Source organism: Homo sapiens, chromosome 15 (genome assembly GCF_000001405.40).
Source record: "Homo sapiens chromosome 15, GRCh38.p14 Primary Assembly".
NCBI lineage: Eukaryota > Metazoa > Chordata > Mammalia > Primates > Hominidae > Homo > Homo sapiens.
Genome location: NC_000015.10, coordinates 86,157,517 through 86,184,937, shown reverse-complemented (window position 1 = coordinate 86,184,937; position 27,421 = coordinate 86,157,517). Strand labels below are relative to the sequence as shown.

Genomic DNA, 27,421 nt, shown 5'->3' with positions numbered 1-27,421 from the left:
GAAGCTCTTTAATTAGATCCCATTTGTCAATTTTGGCTGTAGCCTTGTAGTATAGTTTCAAGTCAGGTAGCTTGATGCCTCCAGTTCTGTTCTTTTGGCTTAGGATTGTCTTGGCAATGCGGGCTCTTTTTTGGTTCCATATGAACTTTAAAGTAGTTTTTTCCAATTCTGTGAAGAAAGTCATTGGTAGCTTGATGAGGATGGCATTGAATCTATAAATTACCTTGGGCAGTATGGCCATTTTCAAGGTTAGAGAAAAAGGAGTAAAAGAAATGAACAAAGCCTCCAAGAAATATGGGACTATGTGAAAAGACCAAATCTACGTTTGATTTGTGTACCTGAAAGTGACGGGGAGAATGGAACCAAGTTGGAAAACACTCTGCAGGATGTTATCCAGGAGAACTTCCCCAACCTAGCCAGGCAGGCCAACATTCAAATTCAGGAAATGATTTTAAGACTCCATTTTTAAGCTGTTTGCCCTCTTGAGACAAAAAAAAAAAAAAAGAAAGAAAAAAGAAATAAGGAATAGATCGTGTATAAAAGTCCATGGAAAATCAAAAGCCTTTTAACAATTGCCCTCCAATATACACTCTTATACTTCTGCTTTAACAGACAGAATTACTATGGACCTTATGACTAATTACTCAATGAACTCATTTCAGCCTTCACTGCAACCCTAATGAGAAAAAGACTACTACTAGGATGCTACTTGGAATGAACATTTGTCTCCACTACAAACAAAATTTAAGAAGTCAATATTTGGGTTCTCCCAACAATGGAGAGAAAAATCAGCAAATTAAATTTTTTAAAAGCAATTTTCTTTGCATTTCTTGGAAATCACATCTCTATCAATAAGACATTATAACACTTTATCTCTTTCTGTCTTAAGGAATGTGTACACCAGCTTGTGGCTGTGGCAAACTGGAGCTGTAACACCCACGGCTACCAAGAGATGACAGGCAGGCACGAGTGTGCTGAGGATTAGTGGGTGGCTGCCATCTGGATCTGACTCATGTTTCTCTGCCTCATTGACTCTTGATCTTGTTTCAGAATGATCATTTTCCACGTTCCCTCTTACCCTTTTATATTTTAGTTCTGTAGTTTAATTATTTAATTTCGTAACGGCATCATCTGATTGAGGGACTTTGGTATTAGCTCTGAAAAGCATTTTTGGGGGATTCATTTGGCCTGAAACACCACATAAAATGTGATTTTATTATGTGTGATGAGGATTACTATGATTAGGGTGGACCATTTTCAAAAACAAATTAGTTCAAGGAAACAGAGGTCTGAGGCTGGCTCTTTCCTCTTTAGAGCCCTTGGGCTCCAGTAAAACTGTCCACTGCTCATGTTTTATTTATTTATTCTAGTCATTTAGTCATTTCTGTTTTTAAATTTGAGGAAAAAACTCATCATGCTACAGCATGGTGTGGTGAAAATACATATGCATAGGACATCAGGAGACCTGGAGTCTTCTCTGAGCTTTTCTACCCACTATTTACTTGTGTAAATTATAGGAAATCATCTATTTTGGACTCATTATCCCTGTTTATAAAGTGAGGGTATTGGATTGAATACCTTTTACTTTTTCATTTGCATAAGGCATTTAAAGATTCTATGGAATTAAAAAACTTACTGATATGTCATAGAGTCAAAAATTGTGTTATTTACCCTTTAGAAAGTCTCATAAAAATATTCAAACTGCAAAAATTTTAGCAGTTCTGAGAAACAGGAATGGAATATGCCAAAGTAAAATATTTAGAACTCTCTGATAGCCAGAGATCGGACAGAGGCACCAGTAAACACTGGAGAAATCCCCTATCCCAGAGAAACAAGAACTCAAGGTCAAAACCACGTAAGAATCTTTTGGATAAGCATGAGTTTGATTACCTTCCTCCTTAGTAAACCTGCATATGAGAACTTCTCAAAGTTTGCTCTTAATCACACACACACATGAGAATTAGCCATAATGGGGAGCATCATATTAGTGATACTGAAATAAAATAACAACATCTCTTGCTATGGGTATAGACCTGTTCCACTACACTACTTCTCCAAGGAAACTGTAAACTGCAAACGCCACATGTAAACTGCTAAAATTGTACTACTAGGGTTTCCTTTTGCTTCTTTTATTCTGATCTTAGAGATCCTCCTATAAAATATTTGAGGAGAGATCTATATCAAACTCCAGCATAATCCAATGTGACTTATTAAATAAAACTAATACTGAGAGAACAGCTCTGCTTCTGCAATGCTGAAATAGCAAAGAAAACTATTCTTTAGTTCAAAAAAAGGAGGTAATCAATTTCCTGAATATTCAAGGGGTAACTTCTTGTGAAAGAGAGTAAATGTAATTTAGAAAAAGGAAATTAATTTGGAAGTACTTGATTTGCATTCTCGAGAATATTCTAGGGGCCATTTGGGTCTATAACACTAGACCAAAGCTGTCATGAGACCATAAATCTAAGAATATAAAGAACTGAATATAGAGAGAGAGAGAAATATATAGTTAGATACTTTGTGGGAGACAGTAAACAGCAGATAGGATGTAGCAGAAAATTGAATTATTCAGGTTGTAAACAAACACAAGGAATTTCCCTAGCATGCAAAAAACCTAAGATGACAAAGGGAGAGAAGAGAAAGGGAAGAAGAGAGGAAGGGAGGAAGAGGAGCAGAGAGAAAAAAAGGAAACAAGGGAGAACAAAAGTGGACAAGATATAGAGGCAAGACCTTGAATTGGTTTATGCCTTTCTCTCCCATTACCACTCGTCTCAAATGTTACCTTATATTAATATCCAACCAATTATTTGTCCCACCGAAACCAGTCCATTTCTTGCTTTGTGCATTTGCTAATGCTCTCATTCTATGCTCAAAAAACCCTTCTCTATTTTATTCACTTCCTTTCCATCCCCAACACTGATGAGTTAAATCTAGTTCATCTGTCAAAACTCCCCTCAATTCCTTTTTGAATGAATGAATGCATGATCTAATTATTGATGATGGTGTTGTTAGTTATAATGCATTTGCCTGTAGCCACACAATCAAAAAGAATATATTTTCGACTAGATAGTACTGAAATTATTTTCATTTAATTTTAATAATTATAAAAGTAATTTCTAATGTTATACAAAAAATAAATCATTTACCCCCCACCATTCAAAATAACTAGTTATTGGTATCCTTCTTTAAAGATTTTACTATGCATATTCCTTAATATAAAGTGAACTTTTTTAGTTTTTTGACTGATGTATTGACTTATTATTGGCATGCAATAAGTTATACACATTTAAAATGTATAACTTGATGAGATTTCATGTATGTACCTTTGAAACATCACCACAATCTAGATAATGAATATCAATATCCTCCTCAAATTTTCCTCATTCTTCTTTATAATCCCTCCCTCCTACTCCATATGTACCTCCAACCCCCATCTCCAGACAGCCATTCATCTTCCTTTTCTCACCATAGTTTATTTTACATTTTCTGGAATTTAATACAATGGTATAATACAGTATATACTTTTTAATCTGGCATCTTTCATTCAGCATAATTATTTTGAGATTTATTCATGTTGCAGCATATATCAATAATTTTCTCTTTGTATTGTTGAACAATATTCTATTGTATGAAAACATTACAGTTTATTCACCACTTGATACATGTAAGGATTGTTTCCAGCTTTCGGCTATTACAAATAAATAATGAAGCAATGAAAATTTGTAAATGAGTCTTTGTAAGGATATATGCTTTCATTTCTATTGTGTAAATGAATACCCAGAAGAGGAGTGTGTGAACAATATGATAGGTGTGTGTTTAATATTTAAGAAACTGCCAGACTGTTTTCCAAAGTGGTTGCACCATTTCTCCATTCCCACCAGCAAAGTGTGAGTGTTGGTGTTCTTCTTTGCCAATTCTTGTGATGGTCAGTCTTTTAATTTCTAACCATTCTAAAAGTAAGTAGTAGTATCATATTACAGTTTTAATATGAATTTCCCTAATTAATTCTGATGTTGAGCATATTTTATGTGCATATTTGCTATCTGTATATCTTCTCTAGTGACATATCTGTTCAAATCTTTTGTCCATTTTTAATTGGATTGTTCTTTTTTATTATTTAATTTTAACTGTTCTTTGTATATACAGAATAAAACTTTTTTACAAGGTACATGATTGGCAAATATTGTCTCCCAGTGTGTAGCCTGTGTCTTCATTCTTTTAATAATGCCTTTTGAGCTACAGAAGTTTTTAATATTGATAAAGTACAGTTTATCAATTGTTTATAAATTGTGTTTTCACTGCTGTTATATAAATAATTTTTGCCTAGCTGAAGATCACAAAGGTTTTCCTCTGTGTTTTCTTCCAGAAATGTTATAGCTGTAGGTTGCACATTTAAGTCTATGGTCCATTTTATATTCATCTTTGTTTATGTTGTAAAGTATAAGCTGAAATCTATCATTTGCACATGAATATCCAGATTTTCCAGCACCATTTATTGAACATACTATTATTCCTCCGTGAAATTTGCCTGTGCCAAAAATTAATTGTTCATGCATGGGTTTATTTTTGAAGTGTCTATACTGTTCCATTAATCTATCTTGACACTGATACCCCACTATCTTCCATACTGTAGCTTTATGATAAATCTTAAAGTATTCTTTGTCCTCCAATTTTGTTCTTTTTTTTCAAATTTGCTTTGGCTATTCTAGGTCCTTGGTCTTTCCATATGAATTTTATAATCAATGTATCAGTTTCCACAACATACAGAAAGCCTTCACAATTTTCACTGGGAGTGCAACGAATCTATAGATCAATTTAAGGAAAATTGACATTTTGCCAATATTAAGTCTTCTGAACCATTACCTCTAGTTATCTCTCTATTTATGTCTTCTTTCATTTGTTTCAACATTGTTTTGTAGCTTGCAGTGTACAGGTCTTTTACATCTTTTGGCAGATTTATCCCTAAGTTTTTACATTTACATTGCTATTGTAAACTATATTATTAAAAATTTTCAGTGATGTATTTCCAATAATTTGTTGCACTATGTAGAAATATAAATTTTTTGTATGTTGATCTTGCATCCTGGAACCTTGGTAAACTCACTTATTAGTTCTTGTAATTTTTTGTGTATAGATTCCGTTGGAATTTCTACAAAGATAATCATCTGCAAATAGTTTTACATCTTCTTTACCCAGATGGATGTCTTTTAGTTCTTTTCCTTGCCTTATTTCACTGACTAGAATCGCCAGTATAATGTTAAATAGATTTAATGACAGTAGACAGTCTAGTTTTTTTTCTGATCTTACTGGGGAAGCATTCAGTCTTTTAACCATGAAGTATGATGTGGCTTAACAGTTTTCATAGATGTGATTTATTGAGAAAGTTCCCTTCTATTTCTAATGTATTGCGCTTTTTATTGGGAAATGGTAGATCTTGTCAAATGTTTTTTCTGGGTCCATGGAGATAATCATATATTGTCGGGTTTTCTTAATTTTTTATATAATCAATCATATATAATGATTTCTACACGTGTTAAACTAGTCTTGCATTCTTGCAACAAATATCACTTGATCTTGATCTTGTATATATTGTCGATAACAATTTACTAAAATTGGGTTAAGAATATTTGCATCTCTGTTCTTAAAAGATATTGGTGTCAACACCATACCTGCTAACCTCGAGGCTTTAGTCATACAAAGAAAATGGCCTTTCTATATTGTTCTTCTGTGCTCTCATAATGCTTAACCATGTCTTTTACTTAAACAATTCCAGGAACTGGCCTTAGGAGATCCAAAATAAGGAATCAAGATTGCAGAGTGCCCCATCTTGGGAGGGAATGCTGAATAATTAATTGATTTACAGCCTTGTTGCTGCTGGCCAGACCACCAGGTGGCCCATTACTCAAGATAATCATCACAACCAGATGATGCTAACCTATATCCTCTACCCTTCGCATGCTTTGTCTGGGAAAAGCCTTTGGCCCCATGTCAATTTCTATTGCATTGAGAGCCCAGGAGCCCCTCGTCAGTCAGGGATGTTTGCAAAGTTTACTCATGTTGTAGCATGTGTCAGAATGTCATTCCTTTCTATGGCTGAATAAAATTCCATTGTATGAATATTTTAAAAAAGAGAGATATTGGTTGGAAGTTTTCCTTCTTTGTAAAGTCTTTGCCTGCTTTTGGTATCAGGGTAACGCTGGCTTCATTGAATAAGTTAGAAAATATTGTCTCTTCTTAAATTTTCTCCAAGAGTTTGTACAGAATTTTTATTATTTATTTTTAAATGTTTGGTAGAATTCGCCAGGGAACTTATCTAAACCTAGACTTTTCTTTGTGGGGATAATTTAACCATACATTCAATTCAATTACCAAATATAGGGCTATATAGGTTATCTTTTTCTTCTTGGGTGAGCTTTGATAGTTATGTCTCTCAAGAAATTTTTCCATTTCATCTAAGTTGTCCAATTTATTGGCACAAAGTTGTTCGTAGTATTTCCTTGTTATCCTTTGCATATCTACAGAAATTGTAGGAATTTCGCCTCTCATTTCTGATACTGGTCATTTGTGTCTTCTCTCTTTTTCTTATCAGTCTGGATTGGATTTTTTGTTTGTTTGTTTGTTTTGTTTTGGCAGAGTCTCGCTCTGTCATCGGGCTGGAGTGCAGTGGTGTGACCTTGGCTCACTGCAACCTCCAACTCCCTGGTTCAAGGGATTCTCCTGCCTCAGCCTCCCACGTAGCTGGGATTACGGGCAGGTGCCACCACACCCAACTAAATTTTTGTATTTTTAGTAGAGACAGGGTTACATCACGTTGGCCAGGATGGTCTTGATCTGCTGACCTCGTGATCTGCCCACCTTGGCCTCCCAAAGTGCTGGGATTACAGGTGTGAACCACCATGCCCAGCCTGGAATGAAGTTTTATCAATTTTATTGATCTCAAAGAACCAACTTTTGATTGAATTGCTTATTGTTTTTCTATTTGTAATTTTATTTATTTCTATTCTGATTTTTCTTATTTCCTTCATTTTACTTACTTTATATTTCAGTCTTCTTTTTATCCTTTCTTATGGTGGAAGCTGAGGTTGTTGATTAGAGATTCCATCTTTCTTCTTTTCTGATATGTGCCTACTGGTCTATAAATTTCCCCCAAGAATGTGGCATCCCAGAGATTTTAATATGCTATACTCATTTCATTCAGTTCAAGATACTTTCTAGTTTCACTTTTGATTTCTTCTTTGACCTATAGTTCCTTTAGAAGTACATTATTTAATTTTCAAATTTTGGGGACTCTTACAGAAACCTTTCTGTTGTTGATAATTTAATTTCCTTGTGGTCATAGAACATACTCAATATCATTTGAATTCTTATAAATTCATTGTGACTGGCTTTATGGTTCATAATATTATCTATCTTTGTAAAAATTCCATTGCAGTTGAAAAGAATGTATAGTCTGCTGTAGGTGGGTAAAGTATCCTATGAATATCAGTTAAGCCACATTCATTGATAGTGTTATTTAAATCATCTATATTCTTACTGATTTTCTCTCTACTTATTCTATCAATTATTCAGAAAGGGTTATTAAAATCTCCAACTAAAGTCATGGATCTATCTATTTTTCCTTGCAGTTCTATCAGTTTTTACGTCAATTATTTTGAAGCTCTGTTATTAGGTAAACATTTAGGACTTTTGTTTGTTCCTAATAAACTGACCCTTTACTATTACGGAATTACCTTTTTATACCTGGCAATATGCTATGCTCTGAAAGCTACTTTATTTGATATTAGAAAAAGCTTCCTAGCTTTCTTTTGATTATCATTAGCTTGGTATATCTTTTTCATCCTTTTACTTTTAACCCACTCAAGTCTTTATATTTAAAATGTGTTTATACACAGCTCTGAGTGGAGAGACTTCAAGATGGCTACCTGGAGGCACCCAGGGAATCTCTGAGGCATGGAAGGAGAGGGAAGCTAAGCATCTAGCCTGGCCAGGATTAAGAACAGCTCTGTGTCAGAAGAAACTCCATAATGCAGGGAAAAGGTGAGCAAAGGATCCCCAGGACTCCACATTCCCACAGACTCCTGCAATCCTAGCCACAGGAGAGCCCCTCAGCCCTCATGGGCCCTGAAACTAGTATATGAAGCTGCCTAGAGTTCATACCATGACATTGTTCCAGAGATGTAGTTTAGGCTGGATCCCACACACTCCCCAGACCCAAGCAGCTGCAGCACACAGCCATTTTAAGAGCCCAGGCCCCACCAGATGATATCCTGCCCTGGGGCCCAACAGCCCCTGAATTTCCACATCCATGGAGCCCCACTGATATTTCCTCATGTCCACCAAGTAGGCTGGCTGGACCCAGCATTGCAGCCAGGTCCCCAGCACTCTAGCCCACGCGGTGTTCTACACCCTAGTGAATGGCAGTGCAGTGCACCAGGGAAGCTTTCTCCAGGACAAAGGGAGCTGAAGCATGCACTCCCCGGAACCTGAGAGCCACCTGACTGGGGCTGCTGCCACTGACAGCAACCTTGCATCCCCAGACACAGACACTCTGCACATGCATGTGCTTTCAGCAGGCTTGGAGTCTGGTCTGTCTGGGAGCCTTCCTGGGGCCTGAAGACAAGCCTGTCCTCACCACTGCCACCACCATGACCACACCATCTAGGGACCTACACATCAATAATGCTTGCCAGTTTGGGTGCTTATGTGCACCATCAGCAGGCTTCAGGACAGTTCTGCCTCACCTGGCATCATTCCCCATGCTAGCACAATCAGGGAACTTGGAGATTAACCTGCTCTACCCACCAATGACCTTACTGGAGAGATAGACTCCAATTCAATAATAGTTGGGGAATTCAACACCTCACTTTCAGCATTGGACAGATAATCTAGACAGAAAATCAGCAAAAAAACATTGGATTTAGACTGCACCTGAGAACACGTAGACCTAACATTTACAGAACATTTCACCAAACAGCTACAGAATACACATTCCTCTCATCAGCACATGGAACATTCCCCAGGACAGACCATATGTTAGGCCACAAAATTAATCTCAGTAAATTTTAAGCATCAAAATCCTATCAAGTATCTTTTCAGATCACAGTGGAATAAAACTAGAACTCAATAATAAAAGGAAATATGGAAATACGTGAAATTAAACAACATGCTCTTGAATGGCCATTGAGTCAAGGAAGACACTGAGAAGGAAATTTAAAAATTCTTGAAATAAATGAAAGTAAAATTACAACATACCAAAATCTGTGGAATACAGTAAAAGTGGTGCTAAGAGAAGTTTATAGCAAAAAAGTGACTATGTCAAAAAAGTAGAAAATTTCAAATAAACAATTTAGTGATGCACCTCAAGGAACTAGAAAAGCAAGAACAAACCAAACCCAAAATTAGTAGAAAGAAAGGAATAATAAAGATCAGAGCAGAACTAAATGAAATAGAGACTAAAAAAATACAAAGGATCAATGAAATGAAGTTTTTAAAAAATAAATAAAATCAATAAACTGCTAACTGACTAACAAAAAAGAGAGAAGACCCAAATAAATAAAGTCAGAAATGACACAGGAGGTATTACTCCTGATACCACAGAAGTACAAAGAATAATTAGATGCTATTATGAACAACTATATGCTAGCAAATCAGAAAACCTAGAGGAAAATGATGAATCCCTGGATACATACAATCTACCAAGATTGAACCAGGAAGAAATAGGAAATCTGAACAGAATAATAATGAGTACAAGATTGAATGAGTAATAAAAAGTCCCCTAACAACAACAACAAGAACAAAAACTCAGGACCAGATGACTTTACTGATGAATTCTACCAAACTTATAAGGAAGTACTAACACCAATTTTTCTAGAATTACTCCAAAAAATTAAAGAGGAGGGAATTCTTCCTAACTCATTCTACAAAACCAGCATTACCCTAATACTGAAACGAAACAAGGATACAACAAAAAAAGAAACCTATAGATCAATATCCCTAATGAACATAGATGCAAAAGTCCTCAACAAAATATAGCAAACAAAATACTAGCAAACCAACAACACATCAAAAAGATAATATACCATGATCAAGGGGGATTTAACCCAGGAGTGCAAGGATGGTTCAACATATACAAATCAATAACTGTGACATATCATATAAACAGAATGGAAGATAAAAACCATACAGTCTTCCCAAAAGATGTAGAAAAGGCATTTCATAAAATTGAACATTCCTTCATGATAAAAAACTCTTAACAAATTAGGCATAGTAGAAACATAATAAAACATAAGAAACATAATAAAACATAAGAAACATAATAAAACATAAGAAACATAATAAAAGCCACATGTGACAAACCCAGCTAGTATCATAATAAATGGAGAAAAGCTGAGAGAATTTCCTCTGAGAACTGGAACAAGACAACAATGCCCACTATCACTATTCATACTCAACATAGTACTGACAGTTCTAGCCGGAACAATCTCTAGCAAGAGAAAGAAATAAAAGGCACTTAAATTGGAAAACAGAAAGTCAAATTGTCTCTCTTTTTATATAACGTGATCTTATTATATTTAGAAAAACCAAGACTACACCAAAAAAACTCTTAGAACTGATCACTGAATTCAGTAAAGTCTCAGGATACAAAATCAACAAATATCAGTAGTATTTCTATCACTAATAAGAAACTAGCTGAAAAATAAATCAAAAAAGCAATCCCATTTACAATAGCTACAAAAAATAACAAAATGCCTAGAAATAAATTTAACCAATAGGTGAAAGACCTCTAGAAGGAAAACTACAAAACACTGATGAAGAAATTGAAAAGGACACAAACAAATGGAAAGACACCCATGCTCATGGATTGAAAGAATTGATATTGTTAAAATTAATCTTGAGACTATACTACTCCAAAGCAATCTACAGATTCAATGCAACCCCCATCAAAATACCAATGACATCCTTCACAGAAATAGAGAAAAACCTCCAAAATTCATATGAAACCACAAAACACCCAAAATAGCCGAAGCAATCCTAAGCAAAATGAACAAAGCTGGAGGCATTACACTACCTGCCTTCAAAATATAATACAAAGCTATAGCAACCAAATCAGCATGGTACTATCATAGAAACAGACATACAGACCAGCACAGCAGAACAGAAAACCCAGAAAGATATTCACCTATTTGTAGCCAATTGATTTTTGAAAAAAGCACCAACAACATCCTTTGGGGAAAGGACACCCTCTTCAATAAATGATGATGGGAAAACTGGATATCCACATGCAGAAGAGTGAAACTAGACCCCTACCTCTCGGCACATACAAAAATCAACACAGAATGGATTAAAGACTTAAATATAAAACCCAAAACTATGAAACTACTAGAAGAAAACACTGGAGAAATTCTTCAGAAGGTTGGTCTGGTTAAAGATTTTATGGCTAAGATCTCAAAAGCACAGGCAACAAAAACACAAACAGACAAATGGGACTACATTAAACGAAAAAGCTTCTGCACAGAAAAGGAAACAATCAGCAGAATGAAGAGACAACCTGCTGAATGAAAAAAAAAATATTTGCAAACTCTCTGGCGGGGGACTAATAACCAGAATATACAAGGAACCCAATTCAATAGCAAGAAAACATATAATTCCATTAAAAAGTAGACAAAGGTTTCTGATGAAGCCTATGTTGGTAGAGACATCTGAGAGTATTGATGAATGCCAACAGCTTAAATGGAGAAAATGATAATAATAAAGTGGGCAAAGGATCTAAATAGACATTTCTCAAAAGAAGACATACAGGTGGCCAACAGATATATGAAAAAATGCTCACTATCACGAATCACCAAGAAAACACAAATCAAAACCGCAATGAGATATCATCTTACTTTAGTTAGAATGGCTGTTATCAAAAAGACAAAAAAATAACAGATGCTGGCAAGGATGTGGAGAAAAGGGAACTCGTATAGCCTGTTAGTCAGAATCTAAATTTATACAGCCATTATAGAAAACAATATGCAGGTTTTGAAAAAAAACTAAAAATAGGACTATCATGCAATCCAGTAATCACGCTATTGAATATTTAACCAAAAGAAAGGAAATCAGTATATTAAAGAGATACCTGCTTCCCATGTTTATTGCAGCACTATTCGCAAGAGCCAAGATATGGAATCAACCTAAGTGTTTATCAACAGATAAATGGATTTTTTAAATGTGGTCTATATCCATAATGGAATACTAGTCCACCATTAAACAAGAATGAAATCCTGTCATTTGCAGCAACATGGATGGATCTGAAGGTCATTATGTTAAGTGAAATAAGCGAGACACAGACAACTACCACTCACATTTTTCTCAGTCACATGTCTGAGCTAAAAAGTTGATCTCATGGGGATGAAAGTCGAATGATAGTTACCAGAGGCTGGGAGTGGGGAAGGGAGAAGAGAAATCGGTTAATGTGGGTACAAACACAGTTAGATAGAAGGAATAGATTCCAGTGTTCAATAGCATAGTGAAGTGATGATAGGTAACAACGATATCTATTTCAAAATAACTAGAAGATTTGAAATATTCCCAACACAAAGAAATGATAACTGCCCAAGGTGATGGATATCCTAAACACTCTGATTTTATCATTACACATTGTGTGAATGTATCAAAATATCACATGTGCTCTATAAACATGTATAATTACTATATACCAATAAAAAATTTTAAGTGTGTTTCTTATATGCAGCACAATTTTAATTTTTTTATTTCAATAGGTTTTTGGAGAACAGGTGATGATTACATGAATAAGTTCTTTAATGGTGATTTCTGAGATTTTGGTGCACCATCACCTGAGCACTGCACACTGTACCCAATGCGTAGTCTTTTATCCCTTACACTCCTCCCACCCTTTCCCCAAGTCTCCAAAGTCCATTTTAACATTCTTATGACTTTGCACACTCACAGCTTGGCTCCCACTTACGAGTGAGAACATAAGATGTTTGGTTTTTTATTCTTGAGTTACTTCACTTAGAATAATAGTCACCAATTTCATCTAGGTTGTTGTGAATGCCACTATTTTGTTTCTTTTTATGGCTAAGTGGTATCCCACGGTATATTTATACCACAATTTCTTTATCCATTTGTTGATTGGTGGGCATTTGGGCTGGTTCTATATTCTTGCAATTGTGAATTGTGGTTCTTATATGCAGCAGAATTGAGTAACTTGTTTATCAATATGATTATATATTTGCCCTTACATAGAGTATGCAACATTGACATCTGAGTGGAGAGGAACTCCACTCAGGAGTTATGGTTAGGTTTAAGTCTACATTCCTGTTAATTTTTTGTCTATTTGTGACACCTGTCCTTCAACTACCTTTTTCTCTTTTCCTGGCTTCTTTTGGATGAATTGAATGTTTTTATAACAATTTACCTTCTTGTCAACTCATTAGCCGTAACTCTTAACTGTTTTAGTGGTTGCTTTAGTGTACGTTTTCAAATTATCATAGTCTACATTTAATTGTTAATATACCATTTAATACATAAGACACTTACAATAGAATACTTTTATTTCTCTCTTCCTGATCTTTGTGCTCTTGTTGTCATATATTTTAATTTTACAAAAAATATAAACTCCAGACTACATTGAGATTACCTTTATTTAAATACTTAGCTATTTTTAAAGAGACTAAAATAATAATCTAAAATCAAATATATTTACTCATGTTACCATTTCTAGTGCTCCTTGGTCTTTTGAATAGATACATCTTTCCACTCGTATCATTTTCCTTCTGCCTAAAGTTTTCTTTTAATATTTCTTGGCGTGAGAGTCTGCTGTTGATGATGTCTTTTAGTTTTTGTATGTCCGAAAAGTCTTTATTTCATCAGCAGTTTTAAAAGCTATTTTCACTGAGTACAGAATTCCATACTTCAAAAATGCTGCACCATTGTTTTTTCACTTGCATTGTTTCCAACAAGAAATCTGTTAGATTCTTATTTTTGTTTCTGTGTACATAATGCATCTTTTTTCCTTTCCTGGGTGCTTTGAAGATTTTTTTTTTTTTTGTCATTGGTTTTGAGTTTTTTGTTTGTTTTTGTTTTTGTGGAGACAGAGTCTTGCTCAGTCGCCCAGGCTGGAGTGCAGTGGTGTGATCTCGGCTCACTGCAACATTCATCCACCTGGTTCAAGCAATTCTCCTGCCTCAGCCTCCTGAGTAGCTGGGATTACAGGCATGAGCCACCATGCCCAGCTAATTTTTGTATTTTTAATAGAGAGGGGGGTTTCACCATGTTGCCCAGGGTGGTCTCGAACTCCTGAGCTCAGGCAATCTGCCCAACTCAGCCTCCCAAAGTGCTGGGATTACAGGCATAAGCCACCACACCTGGCTGGTTTTGAGAAGTTTAATTATGATTTTCCTTGAAGTCGTTTTTTTCATGTTTCTTATGCACATGGTTTCCTGTGTCCCTATCATTTTTATTGTATCTCAGAGATTTAAGCCTTTATTTCCTCAAATATTTTTTTCTGTCCCTACCTATTTCTCCTCTCCCCAGTGGCTCAAATTATATGTACTGGGCTGCTTGAAGTTGTCCCATAGTTCACTAGTGCTCTCTTCTTCTCAAATCTCTTCTCTGTGTGTTTCATTTTGGAAATGTTCTGTTTCTGTATTTTCAAACTAATCTTCTCTTCTGCCACATCTAATTTTCTTTAATTCAATCCAGTGTGTTTTTCTCCTACACACTGTAGATTTCATCTCCAGAGGTTCAATTTGGGTTTTTCTTATATCTTCTGTGTCATTACTTAATTTTTGAACATGTGAAATATAGTTAGAATAGCTCTTTAATGTTCTTGCCTAATAATTATAACATCTATCTCAGTTCTGGTTTTGATTGAATAAATTATCTCCTCCTCATGGGTAGTGCTTTCTTGTTCCTTTGCATGCCTGATAATTTCTTCTTGGATTCTACACATTGTGATTTTACCTCACTTAGTGCTGAATATTTTTGTGTTCCAATAAATATTCTGAGGCTTTGACTTGGGATGCAGCTAATTTACTTGGAAGTAGTTCTATGATTCAAGGTTTTGCTTTTAATATTTGTTTGGCAGGACCAGAGCCCTGGTCTACAGCTAACGCTCAGTCTAGAGGTAACAACAGTCAGCTCTGTATTCATGGGTTCCACACACATGGATTCAACCAACTGTGGATTAAATATATTTTTAAAAATTGCATCTGTGCTGAATATGAACAGATTTTTCCTTGTCATTATTCCCTAAACAATACAGTCTAACAACTTATTTACATAGCATTTACATTTGTAGGTATTATAAGTAATTTAAAGATTTAAAAGTATACAGGAGGAAGTGCATAAGTTATATGCGACTATTGCAATATTTTATATGAAGGACTTGGGCCTCCACAGATTTTGGTATCTACAAGAGGTCTTGTAACCTATCCTCTATGAATATCGAGGGATGACTTTATTCCTCCCTACTGAGGAAAAATCCTGTGTACTTTATCCAATGTCCCATGAGTCATGAGGTTTTCCAGTCTGTCTTTCAGAACCAAGTACTACTTCCAGTCCTGTGTGTGTGTCAGATATTGTTCCCTCCATTTCCTGCAGGTGGTCTTTCCTTGGCTTTGGCTAATTTCCCTATAAGTACGCTTGCATATCCAGCTAAATACCTGAGGGTAATCCCTGAAGATCTCCAGAGTTTTCCTTCTGTGCAGCTTTCTTTCTAGGACTCTGTCCTACAAATGCTATGCACCTTGGTTTCTCCAGGCCTTCAGCTCTGTCTCCCAACTGTTTCTTTAACTCAGGGAGTCTGCTGGGCTGCAAGTCAGTTCATTGTCCCTGCACTGCAATCTAGAAACTCTCTAAGACAATGAGCTGGGGGAATTTAAGGGCTTATCTCTCAGGAATCACTGCCCTTCGTTGCCTAATGTCCATCAACATTGGTTTATATATTTTATCTCTAGTTTGTTTTTTAAGGTGAGAACACTAATATCTTAGTAGACAACAGAAGAATGGGAATATGTAATTCACAAAGAGGAAATAAAAAACAGAGAAACTCTTAAAAATATTCAACTATCCAATAATCACAGAAATGCAATTGAGATCAAGACAACAATCTCAGAAATCAAAGTAATAAAAATTTAGAAAAATGGTAATATTTATTGTTGGTGAGGATTCAATTAAATGGACATTCATATGCTGCTGGGAATGTAGATTATATCACTCTGAACTTTGAGACTTACTTTTTCTAGTCAATATTTTATCATAAGCTGTTTCCCACAACAAACATCGTTCCTAACCTATTTTTGTGTGTTGCTTCATAATATGATATGGAAACATATCACTTTTACCAAGCATTCCCTATTATTGAGCTTTTTCAGGTTATAATATTTCCAATTATAAATAATACTGTGATTGATATTTTTGCACATAAATCTTAGTTCACATTTCAAAGTGAATTTTTAGGACATAGTTTAAGAAAAGAAAAATTGGGTTAAGGAATAGGAATTTTTTTGTCTTGATACATATCACTCATTGTTTTCATGCTTTTTTGTCTTTGCTCTTGCTTCTGCCTCTGCCTAGAACGTGGTGCTCTTATAAAATTAACATCCAGAAATTCCTTCCCTATTTCAAATCAAAAGCTGCCCTCTCAGTGAGTTCCTCCTTGCTAATTCCTGAGCAGACTGAAACCCTCCCTCTTAAATATCCCCCCCATGATCACATTAATCTTATTTGTTTACATGCTAATGTGTGCATGTATCAATACAATCCTTGAGGGCAAGGACTGTGTCTTTTCAACTCAATGCCCACAAATCTCTGACAATAATAAAAGCCCCACAATACTGCTGAATGAATCAATGGATAGTTAAAAGAGGACAACTCAGGCAAACCAAAACAACAGTGTTCATTCATTCAACTGGCATTTATTGAATACCTATGATGCACCATATGAAAGAAACTCAGACCTGATCTCTACTAATTCACTCCTTTTAAATAACCATTTATTGTTCTCTACTCATTTTTCTCATTAGCTTTGTTGAAGATGACTAATGATCACATAGAGAGCTAATATTAAAATAGCACTATAATTGAACTTAGGCAGAAAGCTTTCAATCTGTCCTCATCCTACAATCTCTGCCTAAACTCTTAAAAGCAGCTAGCTTTCCATGGCTACACATTTGTGTGATGGCCTCCTTTTGACCCTTTCCTTCCCAGCCAACTGAGTTGGCTTGTCTCTGCTAAACAAGCACATCTCCAGACACTGCACCCTCTCACAACCCCACAGGAAAACCAGAGTGTGTTTTCTTCCCCCATCTGCTTTATAATTTATGGTGCCTGAGTGTGGAATCCATCCCTGAAGAATTTAGAATTCTATTAGAAATATCAGTTCCCGGGCCAGGCATGGCGGTTCACGCCTATAATCCCAGCACTTTGGGAGGCTGAGGTAGGCGGACTGCCTGAGGTCAGGAGTTCAAGATCAGCCTGGCCAACATGGTGAAACCCCATCTCTACTAAAAATATAAAAATTAGCTGGGCATGATGGTGGGCACCTGTAATCCCAGCTACTTGGGAGGCTGAGGCAGGACAATCGCTTGAACCCAGGAGGTGGAGGTTGCAGCGAGCCAGGATCAGGCCACTGCACTCCAGCCTGGGCAACGGAGTGAGACTTGATCTCAAAAAAAAAAAAAAGAAAAGTAAAAAAGAAATATCAGTTCCCTCAAAGTAAAAGGTGAAACCACAAGAGTCCCTCCTGATAAGAGTCTTTCCATACCTCCCCCAAGTTCCTCAAACTCCCTTTCCTCCATATTTGTAGGTGGTTACAGTGTTGTGAGGAAGGTGTGATTTACAGGAAAATACAAATTTCTTTGCATAAGCTCCTCACTGAGTCAGGCTGGGCAAGAAGATTAACTTCTATGGCAAGTGAAAGTTCCTAGAGCCTGCCTCTAGTCTCTAGAGGGAAAACTGAGGGAAATCTATAGGGAGGTACGAGCTGTACAAGCTTCAGCAGATAAAGGTGGAAATGCAATTTCTGTAGAGGACCGTCATCAGGGGAAAGTGGTGCATGTAAGGCCTCCCCAGGATATGAAGGACCAAGGGAGGTTTGTCTTGTTTTGTTTTTGGAGGCCTGTCTGTGTAACTTATTTGATCCATCCAATATCAACATATCAAGCACCCTTCTCACTGTCCAGCATGTCATCCTCAGGAATAAATACAGAACCAGCAATGGGAAAGATCTGCTCACCAGTCCAACACACCTGAATCAGGACAACCCACACGCAGGATGAGTTCCTGAGCTCCTCCTCCTGAAGGAATCTGGTTCACCACCCAGGTGACAGGGGATTAGAGAACACCTCAAAGGTGAGAAACAGGGACTAGAGCCCCCCTGGATGGCACTGCCAGACCAAGCCCTTCTCAAGCACCAAAAGAATACCTGAGACATTTCAAGGAAGACTCTCCAAAGTGTAGGGTCGCCTGAGGCCCAGAGCCCAAAGCAGAGGCCCTGTCTGCTCAGCTCTGTGGGCTTTTCTGAGAAAGGCATTATAAAGGCATTTCCACAGGATAGGGAGCTGGTCATTTCACAAGCCCAAGACTGGATCAGAATGCAAGGCCTTCCTCATACACTACATCATTCTTGTTGGCATAGGCTGTCGGCAACTTGAGGTCCCCAAGCAACATTTCTCCAGCACTTAACATTGAGACAGGCACATAGAATGTTGTCAAATAAAAGTCCTAATTCAAAGCATGTTTGTTTTGTAATATGCAGAAAAGTGTCTTGGAGTAATAAATGGTGCCTTGAAGTTAGGGTAGAAGGCTTGGTTCAGCCTCTCTGGGTTTCAGTGACCTCATTTTAAGATGAAGGAGATGATAAGAAGGTCCCTTAAGACCTTCGAACTTTAGATCCTACAACTTGAATATCTATGGCTTGCCCTTATCAGGAAGAGCTCAGTGGCTTCTTAAGAAGATGAAAGGGCTTTAACCCTATAACTCTAGTTGCCAAGGCTTAATTCATGTAAGAAACTATTCATTCCCCATCAGCTACAGGCTTGGAGTCAGGTTGCAGATGCAATAATAACTCTGCTAGTAACTTGAGCTCATGGTGCACGCCCCCAATATCAGCGCTTGTGAGGCTGGGGTGGAATTTTTTTGCTCCTGTTCCAAGGTATTTGAATTGGAGTGCTCTGGAGACAAGGTACAAGCAGAAAGTGCTGAGACATAGAGTGAAGCCCCACTGTGAGGCCATGCCCTGGAGACCACAGACTCTAATGTTGAATGGGGAATCATGAAGCCGTTAGTTGGGGCTGGGAGGGAATTAAAACCCAGGGGGAATTCAGTAACTATTTTAAGAAACAGAAAAAAATCCATTTCTTCTAACTTGGATCTCCATTGTCTCAGTGAAGAGTAGCTGAGTCACCCACTCACTCATGATCTCATGGAATCCATTAGCTCTGGCTGAGTCTCACTCATCTATCAGTTACTATGATCAGATAAAGTGGAATGGAGTGATGGTTGGAGAAAGCCCAGAAGACCCGGCTTTGGGCAGAGGCAGTGAGTGATTTGGGGGCAGGGAGAAGAGAAGCAGGACATTTTTTCTAGCTCATAAATTGCAGATGAAATCACCAGAAAGGGCTGCCAATAAAGCAATGCCCAGTAATCCTGCACTCAGGCAGAATTCTAAGGCCAGGGAGGCCCTAGAAGATTGGTCCTTTGGAGGGAGAATATCACCTAACACTATTCCAAGCACAAGGAGCTACTAGGACAGCCAACAGGAGACTAAGGTGAAGAATTTGCTTATGAAGCTTGCTTGAAGACCAAACATATCCATCTCCTCCCGTTGCCAAGGTGTTTAAGCCCAGGTACTCCGACCTCCACAATCTCATAACATGAGACTGACCCTGAGGGTAAAGAGATAAATCATAGCATGACCTTCCTGCTGAAAACCTGAGAGGGCATTAAGAAGGTGGGGATACTAAAGATGTTATCCTCTGTGAGGGTGAGACCAGCATGGTCTTGAGCAAAACACTTCCTGACTTCCTGTGTCCTTGGGGCAGCTCCAGAGAAAATGAAGGTGAGCGGTGAGGGAGCTATCCCAGCCTGTGAGCAGCCCGAGTCCTCTTTCTGGAAGTGTGGAGCAATGGTCAGAGAATACAATGGGCTTCAAGACCTGGTCTCTGCTAGGAAGATCCAACCCATTTCCAATTGGCTATGATACTTATAAAGCAAGGCAAGCCAGCAGAGTTTAAAATCCTGGAAGACACACTGATGACAACATCTGATAACCCAGTTCCAAAGGTTGGGTTCAATATTACACTGTGAGAATCCAAAAGGATCAGAGGGGATGTGGCTGTACTTTGGAAAAGGTCAAGCACGTGGCCAGTGGAAATGGTCCTTATTATTATCAAAATCTTCAGGCCCATCCTGGGAATGACGGCACAAAGGGACAGCCTCCCGCAGAAAGTGTTGAGACGTGGAGTAATCACAAGCTTTCCTAAGGTCACAAGATGAGTCATTCGCAGACAAGTAATCTGTCTGCCTCAATAAATTTCCCTACTTAGTGAGTTTGGACAGCTCAAAGACAGCTTTAGTGCAGATAAACAAGCTTGTCCACAGTGGAACAAACGAGCAAGAGGTAGCACACTCTGGCCCAGTGTCATTTCCTCCTCCCTACTTCTATAAAAAGCACCCCCAGAAAAGTTTAAGCCCCAGCTGAGTTCATTAACAGACCAAACACTAGAAGCCTATTTCAAATAGACAGCAAAGTTTTAATGTGAATGCTGTCCCCACATGCCCCTCCAATTCAGATCTTTCCCTGCTCCAATCTCTGTCGGTTCCCCCAGACAACTCTAAAAGACTCTGAACTTTTTTCTTCCCTCCAGTGAGAGAAACTTTGCTCCCTTTCAAGCTGGTGGCTGCTGCTTCGCAGTCTCTCAGAATGAGTTCTCTCCCAGAAGGCACCTCATTCCCTCATGCAATAGAGCTCTTGGGAGGTGTGCCAACTGATGTTTCAGACATGTTTGGATGGGGCAGAACTCTGCATGTGCAGCCAGCCTGGTATCAGGGGGAAAAAAGGTAACAAATATGAAGTGCCTAGCATAGCACCTACTCAGTACATTCTGGCTTTCATTCATTACTACATAGGAAATTCACCAATAATTTTTTTTAAAATATTTCTTTTCAATGTATTTATTTAATTTTATTTATTCATTTTTTTTTGAGACAGAATCTCACTCTGTCTCACAGGCTGGAGTGCAGTGGTGTGATCTTGGCTCACTGTAACCTCTACCTCCTGGGTTTGAGTGATTCTCCTGCCTCAGCCTCCCAGGTAGCTGGGATTACAGGAATCCACCACCATGCCCAGCTAATTTTTGTATTTTTAGTAGAGATAGGGTTTCATCACGTTGGCCAGGCTGGTCTCAAACTCCTGATCTTAGGTGACCCACCCACCTCAGCCTCCCAAAGTGCTGGGATTACAGGCATGAGCCACAATACCCAGCCCTCATTTATTTATTTTTAAGACAGGATCTCAATTTGTCCCCCAGGCTGGCATGCAATGGCATAGTCATGACTCACTGTAGTCTCAAACTCCTGGGCCCAAGCAACTCTCCCACCTCAGCCTCCTGAGTAGCTGGGACTACAGGTGTGCACCACCACACCCAACTAATTTCTTGTAGAGACAGGGTCTGCCTACGTTGCCCAAGCTGGTCGCAAACTCCTGGCCTCAAGCGGTCCTCCCGCCTTTGCCTCCCAAAGCACTGAGATTACAGACATGAGCCACCATGCTCAGCCTCGTTTGAATTTAATTAAGAGCCTATTATTATCTAGGCGCTGGGCTAGGAGGAATGGAAAATAACAAGATACATATAATTTGATTTCTACTTTAGGAAGTACAGAATTTAGGGAGGAGAAAAGACACCCAGGCCAATATAGTACAGAGTCCAATAGAATGCATGTCGAAAGAAGGTCTGAACAAATCTCTGGAGGATGTTTGAGGAGAGTAGATTCCTTTTCTCTGATGAAATGGAGCAGGTGGCATCCAGTGAAGTCTGGAGACTGGGTAAGACTTCTACCACTGCACAAGGCAGCATGGCATTCCAGAGGAAGGGAGAGACCTGGGGAAGAAGAGGGAATGCCACACTCAGAGATAGCTGGCTGGAAAGCGAGATGAGAGCAGGAATGAGAAACCACTCTGGAAAGGGAAGCTGAGGCACATTCCTGATGGCTTTGAAGTGAAGTGAGACCAACTAGAGGGCTATCATAGCAGTTTAAGTCTGACCATAACTGTTCCCACTAGCATGGGACTCATGAGGAGCCGAAGGAAGGAAGTTGGCACAAGCCAACACAAGTGTGTGCAGCATGGTGGGTATTTGGGAAGTGGAGGAGGCCTGAAATAGCTGCCTGCCCTGGGCTGAGGGCTGGCACAAGGCCACAGAGGGTTAGTGACATTGCTCTTCATGTCCCTTCTCTCTAGCAAGTATGTGGTTGGAGCTTCTGTTGTAAATCTTGCCCTGAGTACTATCTGGAGACAGAGCTTCATTGGAGGACAGCTGCACATCTAATTTTAGGTTCCTGCTAGAGAAGTAGGGCAGGTCTAATCTCCACAGGAGGGAGGAGTCATCATGACACAACACTGGGCATCTGCTCCTACAAAGGCATCCCGGAATAACTCTCCCATAGCATGCTAGCATTTGGAGGATGATACTTAGTAGAGCTATCCATGCCCCCTGACATGCGACTTTATCCCTTCCCTGCAAGACCCCCCTTGAGCCCACAGGTTCTGTCAACCAAATGGCTTGAGTAGAATTCATTTGGGTATGTCTTAGTTACTATTCTCAGGATGGAGTTTGTGAAAGATGGAAATTGGCAGGACGTTCTCATCTCCAGACTCTTCCCCAGCCTCTGCCATCTGATCTGCAGCAGGCAACCAGACATCCCATAGTATTTGTATTAATAATGATTAACAATGTCATAGCATGTCAAAGCACACGATGTCTTTACACATTATTTGTTATTGCCCACAATAAACCTAGGAGGTAAGACTTGACATTCATGCTTTAAGAAATGTCAAAGTTTAGTTAAGAAAAGTTAAATGACTCGCCAAGGAATCTGGTAGAAGGAGGCTTACAGAGCAGGTCTTCCAATTTCATTACCTTTGTTCTTATCTTGCTGTTGATGAGTAAGGATAAGATAGAAAACAAGGTAGCTTTGGGAAAGAATTCAAAAGCAGAGGGAATAGATATTTAGCCTTTGAGAGGAAATAGCCAACTGATGGAGGAGTAAGACTCCTCTATCATTAAGCAAATTGTTCCATGGGTATAAGCCATTTAGATGGAAAAGAAATTTAAGCAAACTTTAACTGCATATGATCGTCTTACATATGATGGTTGTAGAAATAAAATGCTGGAAATAGACTGTATAAGATACGCCAGTGGTGGCTTAAGAGCTGAGGCTCATGTATCAGACAGGGTTTAAATCCCAGCTCTCTCACTTAAAACCCAGCATGTTACTTAACTTCTTTCAGTTTCAATTTATTTTCCGGTAAAATTGGGGGCAATAATAGCACCCGCCTTGCAGAGCAGATGAGAGGCTCAAAGGAAGTAATGCATGCTAAGAGCTTAGCACAGTGCAGGGCACCTCATAAACACCATGCCAATGACAGCTATATTGTAACGGTTGGTGGAAAAGCCTCTTTCCTACAGAGGTTTGGTTTTAATATGGCATTTGACTGAAGAAGGAAAACCATCTTGCCCAAAATTTACAAAACAAATCAGACATGTAGAAATATGCCTGGAATCCCTGGAAGGCTCCTTTTGTGATTGGGAGCACCCTACTCTCACTCCCTTAATCCCTGGTATTACTTTCCCACTTGCCTCTGACACTTTGATCAGATCTGTGCCTGAATTCAACTCCCTTTGCAGGAGGAAAAGAAAGCATTAAAAATGGCAACTAGTGTGAGTCTCTGAGGAAGAGGTTTCTATGCTTTGTTGATTTCTCCCCGCTACCCCACAAGTTTGGCCTGAATGAGGAAGACAATAAAAGCTATGTGAGCACCCCAGAAGGAAGAGACCTAGTGCCTTGATACCCATGGCTATGTGGGAAGAGCTTCCTAGGGGAGCCTTCCAAACAACATGGTACCCAAGTGGCAGAGGAGAAGACTGAGTGAGACCCGTATGTGGATGAGCCCAGCAAATATCACAAAGATTTGCACATAATCTAAAGGAAGAAACCAGATATTCCTGACCTTCTGAACAGCTGAATTATGACAGCATCAGATTAGAAGAAGCCTTGTGAATAGGGCAGAAAGATAAAGTTCATAGATTGGTAACCAAAGAACATGTTGAGACTGCAGATGTCAGCAGCAAAGGCCTGCACACAATGATAAAAATGAGACATATCCAAGTCATATATATGTCCAAATGGACATGAGATGATTGAGGACAGTCTGTGTTTTTCCATCAACACCCCAGCACTACCATGGCTTCTTAGAACTCAGATGTACCCCAGGAAGTGGGGGGAGAAGAGTGAAATCCCTGGATGAACCAAAGACTCACTAATTTGACTTAGATTCCTGATAAGACACTGGTTTATATTTCTTGTTATCTGACATAAATGTAAATTTAAGACAGAGTAAAATATAATCATAGAAAATAAATTTTTTTGGTCCCTGAGTTTTTTATTTTGAAGTTTTTTACCTACTAGATGAGGGTTCTTAGCAGAATTTAATTGAATTCCACCTTGCAATAAATTCACACCCTGGAGAAGATGTTTCCAAAATGAGAGACATAGAACACTGACCCCTCCTTCCCCTAAAAAAGGTGATCTCAAAAAAAAAAAAAAAAAAAAACCACAGTTCCCTGACTAAATCAATTTTGGATCAGGGTATACTAAATAACAGATATTCTCAATATGTATTGGCTTTACAAAGGCTCTGAGAAGTCTTACAGTAAAGAAACCAGCATTCAATCCAGTATTTCTCAACTTACTGGATGAGAATTTTTTTTCACTGAGATATAATGTATTTCACTCTACGAAATGCTTGGTGTAGAGAGCTGCAGGTGAGAATGGATGATAATGGCATAACTGTAGTGACCCAAGAGAAAAATAATCAGGTGGAATATGAGGCTAAGATTGACGCTGAGATGCAGAAAATATCATGGTTGGGCATGGAAATGTTACTTGCCAAATGATCCCATCTATCTTGGAAATTGGCTGAATTTCTTCTAATATTCTTTCAAGGTCCTCGCTGAGTCACTCCCATAAATGATAGATCTTAATAGTCCCGAATATCTCTAAAGCCTTCATGTCTAACCATCTCCCTTTTTAACTTGATGATTCACTCCACTCCAGCAAGCAGAGGCAGGGAGAACAGGCTGAGTTTCATTTTCCAATCATAAAAATACATCTCAAGACTAGCACATGACCATGATGGACTATTATAAGGCCCAGAACTCATGCCAGAAGTTTAACTGGCTGTCTCTTTAGAGACCCTGTCATTTATGAAATGTCTTTTGAGGATTATATTTATTTATGGTAGATTTGCTGCGAGTAAAAAGTATATACCTGAGGGCTTCAGGCAAAAAGAACATGAGGTTTCGAGTCTGAAAGATCTGGAATCAAATCTCAACTCTACTATTTGCTACCACAGGGACCTTGGATAAGGCTCTCGACATATTTTAACTTGCTCGTCTGAAAAAGAGAATAATAATATACCCATTCAGGGTTTTGATGAGAATTAGAGGAAATGACTCATGGGTGTGGAGGGATGTAAACTGAGAAAGGATAAAGACATGGTACCATATTTCCAAAGGAGAAATGACCACTAAACTGAGCTGGAAGCATCATGAAAATACATGTAGGGCAATCTCCATCTCTCCATCTGTTACAAAAGGGGCAGAAGTATTACATGGCACTCTGTACCTGATTGCTTGGGTGCGCTTTCGGGTGTAAGGAGTAATAACCTTGAAAAGCAGTTCCATGGCTCCATTAATTCCCAGCATGGCTCCCATGGAGACTAAGAAAAACAAAAGCACAGTAGTTATGGTCACAAGTGGATGAGTTAAGGCTCAAGACAACTTGGATTGACTCCTTTAAATCTTTAAGGGGCAACTTGATAAACAAGATAGCTCCCTTTCTTTTCCACCCTGGTTGCACATTCCTCTATAATGTCATTCTCGGGTCTCCCATGACTAAGGTAATGACTTGACTGTGCCGCAACTAGAATGTCAAATGAAGAATCAGTTCTTCCTGCTCAGCAGTAACTAGACTGGGAAGTTTTTGCCTTTTTGGCCAATTGGGTGATTATCAAAACATTTTCATAGATCTGAATGATAGAAAGAAACTCCAAAGAGGTATCTGGTTAGGTAAATACAACTTTTGGATATTACTCTTGTCTCCAAGGATGCCCCAGCGTCTCTCCAACATTCCCAGTACCCTATTCCACTTAGATCACTTTAGGTAGAGCTCTGCTCATGTCAGAAAATAAGAGGAGTCCACAGACACTCTCGTCTGTCTTTCCTCCACTGGACTTGTGTTTTTAAGACAAAGACCTATGAATGCCTTGTGCTTTAGGCTAGCCTTGATCTGAGAAAAGTGAGTGGGAACAAGAGGTCTTAGAGAAGCAAAGAGAGGGAAACAAGGGTGGATGATACTGAATTGCTCCAACCCTCAGGAAAGGAAGCTAAATGGAAATCTGAAGCTTCCTCATCTCACTACAGTCTTTCAGATAGAGACTGAGGCTGATGTCTTTGCTATTGCAGAGTGCATGTTCCTGGAACATCGTCCATGCATATGTCCCTCCTGAGGCTAGTACATGAAGTAATTGCCTGGATCAAAATTCAGAGATTTGGCATCCTAGTCCTGCCCATCAATCTTCCACTCTTGTGGCTACTCATTCAGCTCTTACTTCCGAATTGGGAAAACAGACTAGAGAAAACTCTTGGCAAGTAATTAAAAAAAATTCTGGTATTGAGTAAGGGAGGAGTTAATTTTAAAAGCACTGATTCTAACATGGAAGATTTTAGGCTTGAAATTGGAAGAGGATAACAATAAGAAATCCTCACTGAGTTCACTTTTGTGGATGCCTGTCCGAGGTTAGAGCTCCGGCAGCTCTGTGAACATCCTCATTGGCCATCTGAGAACTTCCAAAGGGTTCATTGGCTCTCACAGACCCATTAGGGTTCCAGCCAACTCCTTCTGAAGATAGGAGCTGTTTAGAAAGCTTTGCTGGAACATTCAACAGTGGCTAACAATTGACGGAAAAGATAGTAATCCGCAGGCTTCTTGAACTCTGCTTACCTCTCATCAGTAAAGTGAATGTATGGAGAGTGACAGTATAATTTTTTTAAATACCTTATGGAACAGTGAGTTGGTACAATCAACGTAGGCTTAGAAGATGAATCAGATAGCCACCTCCTCATACCCACAGGAA

The 27,421-nt window shown here is 38.6% G+C and overlaps 1 protein-coding gene and 1 pseudogene across 11 annotated transcripts in view; one reads left to right on the top strand and one right to left on the bottom strand.

Moving 5' to 3' along the window:
• The window catches only part of AGBL1 (AGBL carboxypeptidase 1), a 951,857-nt gene that overhangs the window by 846,539 nt on the left and 77,897 nt on the right, over positions 1-27,421 (bottom strand). For all 11 annotated transcript variants that reach the window (XR_007064423.1, XR_931751.4, XM_011521227.4 and 8 more), the window contains exon 5: positions 25,912-26,005. Coding sequence is in view for 9 of the 11 variants with exons in the window: in XM_011521227.4 (XP_011519529.1) it covers positions 25,912-26,005 (94 nt within the window). In the remaining 2 variants the exon portion in view is untranslated. The remainder of the gene's footprint in view (positions 1-25,911; positions 26,006-27,421) is intronic.
• LOC124900360 (uncharacterized) lies at positions 11,668-11,740 on the top strand (annotated as a pseudogene).